Source organism: Homo sapiens, chromosome 14 (assembly GCF_000001405.40).
Source record: "Homo sapiens chromosome 14, GRCh38.p14 Primary Assembly".
Classification (NCBI taxonomy): Eukaryota; Metazoa; Chordata; class Mammalia; order Primates; family Hominidae; genus Homo; species Homo sapiens.
The window spans coordinates 49,755,833-49,768,061 of record NC_000014.9 but is presented as its reverse complement, the minus strand read 5'-3'; the positions used below and the strand labels follow the sequence as shown (position 1 = coordinate 49,768,061).

Genomic DNA, 12,229 nt, shown 5'->3' with positions numbered 1-12,229 from the left:
CTGCCGCTCAGCGCCCCCAGCGCCGGGTCCTCCAGCCGCCGCCGCCGCCGCCGCCGCCTCTGCCCGCGCCTCCGCCTACGGCCTGGGCACCGCAGATCTATGGGGCCCGGCGACTTCTAGTCGCGCTTCGAGTCTCCTTTCACTGAGGGAACCACAGGGATAATGTCCTGAATCGGTCCCTGAAAGCTGCTGAATTTTAGCCGGATTGCCGCAATTTTTTTTTTCTTCCCGAGGATTTCTATTCGTTTGATTGAGGGATGATCTCAGAGGGTTCACAGCCCGGGCAGGGGCACCAGAATTGCTCCACTAGCAAGTTTCTGGTCTCGCCTTAGAGTCGATGCAGGCCCTGCTGTTCTGCGGGCGCGAGGGCAGTCGCTTAGCTCTCACGTGGGGCCCAGCCCGATCCCCGGGGGCCTCTCCTGAGCTCCTGCCGCCCCTGCCGGGCGCCGCCTCTGCGGGAATCTGACGTTGCCGCCGCCGCCGCTGCCGCCGCCAGCCGGGCTGCAGAGTTGGCTTGAAAAGCGTTTCCGAAGCCGTAACCACCCTTTTCTTCAGAAAGAAAGGCGGATCCTTTTCACGCACACACAGCTTTCTCTTATATGATACCTTTCAATTGGGCCAAAAGAAAATTACGAGTTACTGTGCTTGATACCTCACCTGTAAAATAGGGTGGGACAAAAATAATCTTAAATTCTTGATCTTACAGTGCCTGTAGAATTTATCGTGTTTGGTAGGAGGGACGTGCTTCATTATCTCCATTTCCCTCATCTTCTGGTTGGGAGCACTCCATAGAAAAGGAACACTTTGAACAATAAAAGGCTTTTTTTTTTTAATTATTAAAATGCTTATAGCCTGCCACTCCTCCCCTAGTGTGCCAGTGTGTTTACTTGAACTCAAGAACTTGAAAGTTACTTAAGAGGATTAATTAAAGCCTTCAACAAGGAAGCAAATCACCTTGAGGCTGTTAAGACCTTATCTGCCATCCACCCTGGTTGGTGCCCTCAAATCTGTCTGGTTCACAGAATTCCTTGCAGCAGTGTCTTCTCCCAGTCGAATTATGCTCACTAGACTTTGGGGTTATCGAAGTTCCTTGTGAACCAACCTCGTGAATCTGATCGAGTCACTTAAAAACCTTGAGCTGGCTCCCGTCGTCCTTAGTAGAATCCAAAATTAATATCTCGGCTGGGCGCGGTGGCTCACGCCTGTAATCCCAACACTTTGGAAGGCCGAGGCAGGCGGATCACCTGAGGCCAGGAGTTCGAGACCAGCCTGGCCAAAATGGCGAAACTCTGTCTCTACTGAAAATACAAAAAAATTACACAGGCTTGGTGGCCGGCGCCTGTAATCCCAGCTACTTGGGAGGCTCAGGCAGGAGAAACTCTTGAAGCCGGGAGGCGGAGGTTACAGTGAGCCAAAAGGGCACCATTGCACTCCAGCCTGGGCAACAAGAACGAAACTCCGTCTCAAAAAAAAAAAAAAAAAAAAAAAAAAATTCATATCACAGTGCTGTGCAAGAAGACCCAGCATGGTCCAGACCCAGCTTGCCTTTCCAGCTTCAATTCCTGGCTGTGTCCTCCTTCCAGCTACATTACCCTTCTATCATCGTTTTTGTTTTTTGTTTGTTCGAGAGAAGTCTCGCTCTTGTCCCCCAGGCTTGAGTGCACTGGCTCGATCTCGGCTCACTGCAACCTCCGCCTCCCGAGTCCAAACGATTCTCCTGCCTCTGCCTCCCAAGTAGCTGGGACTAAGGCACCTGCCACCACGCCCGGCTGATTTTTGTATTTTTTAGTAGAGATGGGATTTCACCATGTTGGCCAGGCTGGTCTCGAACTCCTGACCTCAGGTGATCCACCCGCCTCGGCCTCTCAAAGTGCTGGGATCACAGGCGTGAGGCACCGCACCCACCCAGCCTATATTTCGTATATATATGCCATTTAATAAAATACTATAATATCCACTTTGATTTACTTATTTATGTTTCAAACCATACTTTTATCCTACTTAGAGCAGTAACAACAAAAAGAGTCTCTGAAACACATTAATTAGTTGTACTATAAGCAGAGTTTCTCAGTGTATCAAAGTATAGTTCCAAGCCCCGTGGGTACCTGGAGACCTTTTCAGGGGCTCCTTAAGGAACTCTCTTTTCTAACTATGTATCTGTGTGAGGCCAGATTTTCTTCACTTAAGTCGGCCTGGCGCAGTGTCTCATGCCTATAATCCCAGTATTTTGGGAGGCTGAGGTGGGCGGATCACTTGAGGTCAGGAGTTCGAGACCAGCCTGATCGACATGGTGAAACCCCGTCTCTACTAAAAAAATAGAAAAATTAGCCAGGCATGGTGGTGGGCGCCTGTAATTCCAGCTACTTGGGAGGTGGAAGCAGAAGAATTGCTTGAATCTGGGAGGTGGAAGATGCAGTGAGCCGAGATCATGCCACTGCACTCCAGCCTGGGTGAGAAAGCAAGACTCTGTCTCAAAAATAAAAATAAAAATGCAAAACAATATCATTCTTTTTGAAATTCTTTTGATTAGGAAAATAAAGTTATTTTTCATTTAAAATGTTATTTATGTTAACAATTTTGTTGTTATTTTGTAATAAATTAAAAAATTTAAACATTAAACTAAATTAAAATTAGTGTTAATTTCTAATATGGCAGATATCTATAGATAAAATCCTCATAAACAAAAGCTCTTGGAGGAACTCAATAATTCTTAAGAGTGTAAAGGGGTCCTAAACTAAACAGTTCTCAAGCTAACAGCCATCTCTGATCATGGCTGGCATACAATCAGCAACTTAATTTTAAAAAGCAAAAGCACATTGTGGCCAGGCGCGGTGGCTCACGCCTGTAATCCCAGCACTTTAGGAGGTGAGGCGGGCAGATCAAGAGGTCAGGAGATTGATACCATCCTGGCCAACATGGTGAAACCCTATCTCTATTTAAAATACAAAAAATTAGCTGGGCGTGGTGGCCTGCACCTGTAGTCCCAGCTACTCCGGAGGCTGAGACAGGAGAATCGCTTGAACCTGGGAGGCTGAGGTTGCCGTGAGCTGAGCTCATACCACTGCACTCTAGCTAGCAATACAGTGAGACTCCATCTCAAAAAAAAAAAAGCAAAAGCATATTGTTTTCAGAATCACTTTCTTTTGAGGAAAATTTTCTAATTTTGACCTAAATGGGATAGAATCAAAAAAATTTCAAGGCCTTTGACAACTTTAGAGTACATTACTTATCCTACTTTGTATGTGTATCTATATTGATACTCAGACATTTTCACTTCCTTCATTTTAATATCCCTCAATTATCTTAACAAAAACAACAAAGGACCTCCAACCTTTTAATCACTGCCTATAAATTGTACATCTTATCAAATAAAAATAGAAGAGACAATTGAAGTTAGTTTAAGAATAAAAGTCTCTTTGTAAAGATAATAAAATTCTTAAAAATCCACTATAGGTCATTTGAAATTCAATGATTGATAATGCTATCATTATAATCATAATCCAGAATGTGTGCAAAAAAATCTTTTGCTGAAAAAAATACTCTTGTAAGACTTCCAATTTCTTTTTTTTCTTCCTTTTGATGTGGGGTCTCACTGTGTTACCCAGGTTGGAATACAGTGGCGTGATCTCGGCTCACTGCAACCTCCACCTCCCAGGCTCAAACGATCCTCTCGCCTCAGCCTCCCAAGTAGGTGGGACTACAGGCGTGTGCCACCACACCGGCTAACTTTTCTGTATTTTTGGTAGAGATGGGGGATTTCACCATGTTGTCCAGGCTGGTCTCGAACTCTTGAACTCAAGTGATCCACCACCTCGGCCTCCCAAAGTGCTGGGATTACAGGCATGAACCACTGTGCCCTGCCCAAGACTTCCAGTTTTTAGTCTGGCATGTAAACAGCTTAGAAGCTGCCACTCCATCCTAACAACAAACAAAAAGCTGAGCAAACTGAAAAATCAACAACTGTTCTTAGATCAATCAGAGAAGTGAGGTCACAGTGCAAACCACTGCCTGTCAAACTGCAGAGACAGATGGGTGAATACAGAGAATCACAATTTACCAAAGCAGAAACCCATGAGCAAAAACCTTCTGAGCTACCAGTTTGGGAGCATAAAAACTTTACAGTAATTGATGACTTGTTGGAGGCTCAGTGTGAACACGTTTTAGACTTAAAAACTCCAGGGGGCTGGGTGTGGTGGCTCATGCCTGTAATCCCAGCAATTTAGGAGGCCTAGGTGGGCAGATCACTTGAGGTCAGGCGTTCGGGATCAGCCTGATCAACATAGTGAAATCCCATCTCTATTAAAAATATAAAAAATAGCCGGGTTTGGTGACACTTGCCTGTAGTCCCAGCTACTAGGGAGGGTGAGACACAGGAATTGCTTATATCCAGGAAGCTGCAGTGAGCTGAGATCATATGACTGCACTCCAGCCTGGGCAACAGAGTAAGACCCTGTATCAAAAAAACAAACAAATAAACAAAACCACAACTCCGGGGGACCCAGTCATAGGACGATCCTCACACTTTTTTGAGTTTACCTCCAGGAGGTCTCTTAGGTTCTTACAGTAAATATCAGAGAAAAATTATCTCATGCTTCCAGCAAGGGTAAGGAAAAAGGAACCATTTTGAAATATGCTAGTTCTTCTTAACAAGGGCTGCCTCAGGAGAAACTATTTTATCAAAGCCTACTCTACCTGGCAAAAGGAAAATACCTAATTCCAGCCGCCTCTAGCCATTCTGTTCCACCTAAGTGGGGGAAAAACTGAGAACTGGGGTGAAGTTGATAGTCCAGGGGCACAGGCTCCTAAAAAGACAGATGATTATAGGACTACAGAATGCTTTCCCTCCCCACACTTCTTACTACCACACCACAGAAGGCCTATTTACCAGAGTTTCTTTCACCCAGCTCATCATGTTTAGGTTTCAACAAAAAATTGCAAGGCATAATAAAAGTCAAAACATCGTGGGCTGGGTGTGGAGGCTCATGCCTGAAATCTCAGCACTTTGGGAGGCCGAGACGGGTGGATCACCTAAGGTCAGGAGTTTGAGACCAGCCTGGCCAACATGGCAAAACCCTGTCTCTACTAAAAATACAAAAATTAGCCGGGTGTGGTGGCACATGCCAGTAATCCCAGCTATTCCAGAGGCTGAGGCAGGAAAATCACTCGAATTTGGGAGGCAGAGGTTGCAGTGAGCCAAGATCGCACCACTGCACTCCAGCCTGGGCAACAGAGTGAGACTCTCTCAAAAAAAACAATGACAACAAAAAACACAGTGTGAAGAAATGAGCAAGCATCTGAAGCAGACTCGGATAAGACAGGAATGTTGAAGTTATCAGACTAGGAATTTAAAACAACTATGATTAATATGCTAAAGCCTCTAATGGAAAAAGTAGTCAAATGCAAGAACAGATGGGTAATGGCCAGGCACAGTGGCTCACCCCTATAATCCCAGCAATTTAGGAGGCCTAGGCAGGCAGATCGCTTGAGCCCAAGAGTTCAAGACTAGCCTGGGCAACAGGGCAAAACACTGTTATCTACAAAAAATACAAAAATTAGCCGGCCATAGTGGCATGCGCCTGTGGAACCAGCCAGCTACTCAGGAGGCTGAGGTGGGAGGATTGCTTAAGTCAGATGGGTAAGGTAAATAGAGAAGATATGGAAATTCTCAGAAAGAACCAAACAGAAATGCTAGAGATCAAATAAACTGTAACGAAGATGAAGAATGCCTTTGATGAACTAACTAGTAGGCTGGACATAGCTGAGGAAAGAATCTCTGAGTTTGAGGGTATGTCAATAAAACTTCCAAAACTGAAACGCAAAGAGAAAAAAGACCAAAAAGAAAAAAAAAGGCACCTCAGACTCCCCTAGAATATCCAATAACTGTGGCACAATCACAAAAGGTGTAACCTAAGTGTAATGGGTTAGAAAGAGAGAAAGGTCCACTGTGAAGAGAAGGACAAAAGCCTGGCTGACCATGCCACCTGGGTCCTAGGGCCTTCAGGAAACCTATACAGTAGCCACGTGGGGGTTACAGTAGGCCTTGGGTGACATCCAGTGCTGTGCTGGCTCCATGTCTGACCCAGCACAGTCCCTGTGGTGGTGGCCACAGGAGTACTTGCATCACCATACCCCCAGTTCCAGGTAGCTCAGAACGGAGAGACTCAATTTGTTTGGAGAAAGTAAGGGAAGAGAACAAGAGTCTCTATCTGTTAATCCAAAGAATTCTTGCAGATCTTATCCAAGACAACCAAGGTGGCACCTCTATTAGTCTGCTAGAACCACAGTTCACAGGGCACGGAATCCCCCCCAATGCAGATAACAGTTTAGATCACAACACCCACATCCTTTTGAATAGCTGCAAAGCCTTTCCAAGGAGGACAGATACGAACAAGCCCAGACTGTGAAGACTACAATAAATGCCTAACTCTTCAATGCCCAGACACTGATGAACATCCACAAGTATCAAGACCATCAAGGAAAACGTGACCACACCAAATGAACTTAATAAGGCACCAGGGACCAATCCTGAAGACACAGAGATATGTGAACTATCAGATAGACAATTCAAAATAGCTGTTTTGAGGAAACTCAACGAAATTCAAGAAATTCAGGATAATGCAGAAGAGGAATTTAGAATAATATTAGATAAATTTAACAAAGAAATGGAAATAATTAAAAAGAATCAGGCGGAAATTCCGGAGCTCGAAAATGCAACTGACATACTGAAGAATGCATCAGTCTCTTAATAGCAGAATTGATCAAGCAGAAGAAATAAATGGTGAGCTTGAAGACAGGCTATTTGAAAATACACAGAGGAAACAGAAGAATAAATTTTTTTTTTTTTTTTTTGAGAGACGAGAGTCTCGCTCCGTCACCCAGGCTAGAGTGCAGTGGCGTAATCTCGGCTCACTGCAACCTTCACCTCCGGGGTTCAACCATTGTGGAAGACAAGTATGGCGATTCCTCAAGGATCTAGAACCAGAAATACCATTTGACCCAGCAATCCCATTACTGGGTATCTACCCAAAGGATTATAAATCATTCTACTATAAAGACACATGCACACATTTATTGCGGCACTATTCACAATAGCAAAGACTTGGAACCAACCCAAATGCCCATCAATGATAGACTGGATAAAGAAAATGTGGCACATATACACCATGGAATACTATGCAGCCATAAAAAAGGATGAGTTCACGTCCTTTGCAGGGACATGGATGAAACTGGAAACCATCATTCTCAGCAAACTAACACAAGAACAGAAAACCAAACACCATCATGTTCTCACTCATAAGTGGTAGTTCAACAGTGAGAACACATGGACACAGGGAATCACACACCAGGGCCTGTTGGGGGGTGGGGGGCTAGGGGAGGGATAGCATTAGGAGAAATACCTAATGTAGATGACGGGTTGATGGGTGCAGCAAACCACCATGGCACGTGTATACCTATGTAACAAACCTGCACGTTCTGCACATGTACCCCAGAACTTAAAGTATAATAAAACAAAATTAAATTCTGAAGGAAAAAAAACTTTTGCCCTAGAATAGTATGTCCAGTGAAAATATCCATCAAACATGAAGGAGAAATAAAGACTTTTCTAGACAAACATGAGCTGAGGGATTTCATCAGTACCAGACCTGTCCTATAAGAAATGCTAAAGGGAGTATTTCAATCAGAAAGAAAAGGATGTCAGTGAGCAGTAAGAAATCATCTGAAAGTACTAAACTCACTGGTAATAGTAAATACACAGAAAAACACAGACTATTATAACACTGTAACTGTGGTGTGCAAACTACTCTTAAGTAGAAAGACTAAAAATGAACTAGTCAAAAATAACTACAACAAATTTTCAAGACATATATAGGACAATAATAAATAGAAATGACAAAAAATTAAAAAGCTGGGGAATTAAGTTAAAATGTAGAGGTTTTATTAGTTTACTTTTTGCTTGTTAGTTTGTTTATGCAAGCAGTGTTAAGTAGCTATCAGCTTAAAATAATAGGTTTTAAGATAGTATCTGCAAGCCTCATGGTAACCTCAAATCAAAAAAACATATAATGGAAACACAAAAAATAAAAAGCAAGAAATTCAATCATACCACCAGAGAAAATCATCTTTACTAAAAGGAAGACAAGAAGGAAAGGAGGAAGAGAAAACCACAAAAGAACCAGAAAACAAATAACAATATGGCAGGAGTAAGTCCTTACTTATCAATAATAATATTGAGTGTAAATAGACTAAAGTCTCCAATCAAAAGACATGTTGTGGCTGAATGAATTAAAAAAAAAAACCAAGACTCAATGATCTGTTGCCTGGAAGAAATGCACTTCACCTATAAAGACACACAGTCTGAAAATAAAGGGATGGAAAAAGATGTTCCATGCCAATGGAAACAAACAAACAAAAGAGCAGGAGAAGCTATACTTATTCAGACAAAATAAATTTCAAGACAAAAACTGTAAGAAGAGACAAAGTCATTACATAATAATAAAAGGGTCAATTCAGCAAGAGGATATAACAATTTTATTTTATTTTTTTGAGATGGAGTCTTGCTCTGTCGCCAGGCTGGAGTGCAGTGGCACCATCTCGGCTCACTGCAACCTCTGCCTCCCAGGTTCAAGTGATTCTCCTGCCTCAGCCTTCTAAGTAGCTGGGACTACAGGCGTGTGCCACCACACCCAGCTAATTTTTGTATTTTTAGTAGAGACAGGGTTTCACCATGTTGGCCAGGATGGTCTCAAACTCCTGACCTCAGGTGATCCACCTGCCTCAGCCTCCCAAAGTGCTGGGATTACAGGCATGAGCCACCGCACCTGGCCAACAATTTTAAATATCTATGCACTCAACACTGGAGCACCCAGATGTTTAAGGCAAATATTAGTAGAGCTAAAGAGAGAGATAGACCCCCAATACAAAAATAGCTGGAGACTTTAACACCCCAATTCTCTACAATCTCTTTCAGAAGATTAGAGGCAGAGAAAATACTTCTTCCTTTTTTTTTTTGAGATGTAGTTTCACTCTTGTCTCCCAGGCTGGAGCGCAATGATGTGATCCTGGCTCACTGCAACCTCCGCCTTCTGGGTTCAAGCAATTCTCGTGCTTCAGCCTCCTGAGTAGCTGGGATTACAGGCGCCTGCCACCACACCTGGCTAATTTTTTGTATTTTTTGTGGAGACGGGGCTTCACTATGTTGGCCAGGCTGGTCTCGAACTCCTGACCTCAAGTGATCCACCCACCTCAGCCTCCCTAAGTGCTGGGATTACAGGTGTGAGCCACTGTGCCCAGCCTGAGAAAATATATCTTAACTAATTATATGAGGCCAGCATTACCCTAATATCAAAGCCAGGCAAAGACAGGGTAAAAAAAACTACAGACTAATACCCCTCATAAATATAGATGCAAAAATTCTCAACAAAATACAAACAGTCCCTAACTTACTATGGTTCTACTTAAGGATTTTTTGACTTTATGATGATATGAATGTAATAACCATTAAGTAGAAACTGTACCTCAAATTTTGATTTTTGATCTTTTCCTGGGCTAGTTATATGCAATATCATACTCGCTTATGCTGGGCAGCTGTGACAAGCTGCAGCTCCCAATCAGCCATGCAATCATGAGGGTAAACAACCAATACTGTACTATACTGTATTCAACGATTTATTATAAAATAGGCTTTGTCTTAGATTATTTTGCCCAACAATAGGCTAATATATGTATTCTGAGCATTTTTTTTTTTTTTTTTGAGACGGAGTCTTGCTCTGTCACCAGGCTGGAGTGCAGTGGCCCAATCTTGGCTCAGTGCAACCTCCATCTCCCGGGTTCAAGCGATTGCCCTGCCTCAGCCTCCCGAGTAGCTGGGACTACAGGAGCAGGCCACCACACCTGGCTAATTTTTTTTTTTTTTTTTTTTTTTTTTTTGAGACGGAGTCTCGCTCTGTAGCCCAGGCTGGAGTACAATGGCACGATCTCAGCTCACTGCAAGCTCCGCCTCCCGGGTTCACGCCATTCTCCTGCCTCAGCCTCCCGAGTAGCTGGGACTACAGGCACCCACCACCACGCCCAGCTAATTTTTTTGTATTTTTAGTAGAGATGGGGTTTCACCGTGTTATCCAGGATGGTCTCGATCTCCTGACCTCGTGATCCACCCGCCTCGGCCTCCCAAAGTGCTGGGATTACAGGCGTGAGACACCGCGCCCGGTGCCACACCTGGCTAATTTTTTGCATTTTAATAGAGACAGGTTTTCACCATGTTGGCCAGGATGGTCTCGATGTCTTGACTTTATGATCTGCCCACCTTGGCCTCCCAAAGTGCTGGGATTACAGATATGATCCATCATGCCTGGCCAGTATTCTGAGCCTGTTTAAGGTAGGCTAGGCTATGATGTTTGGTAGGTTAGGTGTACTATGCATTTTTTGATTTATATTTTCAATTTACAATGGGCTTATTGGGACTTAACACCAACAAAAGTTGTGGAACATCTGTATTAGCAAATCCTGTGCAAAAAGAATTATATACCACAATTGAGTAGGATTTATCCCAGATATGCAAGGCTGGTTTAACATTTGAAAATCAATTAACGGCCAGGTGCGGTGGCTCATGCCTGTAATCCTAGCACTTTGGGAGGCCAAGGTGGGCAGACCACTTGAGGTCAGAAGTTCGAGACCAGCCTGGCCAACGTAGTGAACTCCTGTCTCTATTAAAAAGTACAAAAATTAGCCTGGCATGGTGGCAGGAGCCTGTAATCCCAGCTACTTGGGGGCTGAGGCAGGAGAATCACTTGAACCCGGGAGGTGGAGGTTGCAGTGAGCCGAGATCACACCACTGCACTCCAGCCTGGGCAACAGAGCCAGACTGCGTCTCAACAACAACAACAAAAAAAATCAATTTACATAATCAATCACATGAGCACATCAATGGATACAGGAAAAGCACTGGACAAAATCCAACACCCATTCATGATAAGAACTCTCAGCAAACTAGGAATAGACAGGAATCTCCTCAACTTAATAAAGAACATCTACAAAATACCTATGCTAACATAAGACATAATGGTGAGAAACTCAAAGCTTTCCCTTAAGATCAGGAACAAAGCAACGATGCCCTCTCTCACCACTGCTTTCTAATATCATACTGAAAGTTCTAATTAATGCAATAAAACAAGAAAAGGAAATTTTATACAGTTTGGGATGGAAGAAATAAAACTGTCTTTGTTAGCAGATGACATGATCATCTATGTAGAAAATCTGACCAGAAAATCCCTCCTGGAACTAATAAGCAATTATAGCAAGGTTTCAGGATACAGAATTAATATACAAGAGCCAATCATTTTCCTATATCAGTAATGAGTAAGTGGAATTTGAAATTAAAAACACATTAGCATTATGTTAGCAGCACCCAAAATTACATAGGTATAAGTCTAACAAAATATGCATAAAACTTGGATGAAAATCTTCAAAGAACATCTAAATAATTGGAGATATATTCCATATTCACGGACAGGAGATTTACTGTTAAGATATCAGTTCTGGCTGGGTGCAGTGGCTCACGCCTGTAATCCAAGCACTTTGGGAGGCCGAGGTGGGCAGATCAAGAGGTCAGGAGTTCGAGACCAGTCTGATCTCGAACTGGTAAACCCCGTCTCTACTAAAATACAAAAATTAGCCAGGCATAGTGGTGCGCACCTGTAATCCCAGCTACTCGGGAGGCTGAGGCAGGAGAATCGCTTGAAACTGGGAGTCAGAGGTTGCAGTGAGCCAAGATCGCACCACTGCACTCCAGCCTGGGCGACAGAGCGAGACTCCATCTCAAATAAATAAATAAATAAATAAATAAATACATAAATAAATAAATATCAGTTCTTCCTCACTTGATCTACAGATTCAATGCAATCCCAATAACAATTCCAGCAAGTTGTTTTGTACATATTGACAAACTGATTCTAAAATTAATATGGAAATGCAAAAGATCTAAAATATTGAAAGAGAACATCATCAGAGGACTGCCACTACACAACTTCAAGACTTGCCATAAAGTGACAGTATTAAAGACAGCATAGTACTGGCAAAAGAATAAACAAATGCAGCAGAATGGAGATCTCAGGAATAGATCCACGTGAATATAGTAAACTGATCTTTGATAAAGGAGAAAAAGCAGTATTAATGAAGCAAAGATAGTCTTTTCAACAAATGGTGCTGGAACAACTGGACATCGACATGCAAA

General features: G+C 43.0%; 2 annotated features.

The window, feature by feature from the left end:
- Positions 30–109: a silencer, noted in NCBI's record as "silent region_5706". NCBI's record gives its function as "represses an Ori minimal core promoter by ATAC-STARR-seq in GM12878 lymphoblastoid cells {active_cell/tissue: GM12878}" and the evidence as "EXISTENCE:reporter gene assay evidence [ECO:0000049][PMID:35858748]".
- Positions 450–509: a silencer, noted in NCBI's record as "silent region_5705". NCBI's record gives its function as "represses an Ori minimal core promoter by ATAC-STARR-seq in GM12878 lymphoblastoid cells {active_cell/tissue: GM12878}" and the evidence as "EXISTENCE:reporter gene assay evidence [ECO:0000049][PMID:35858748]".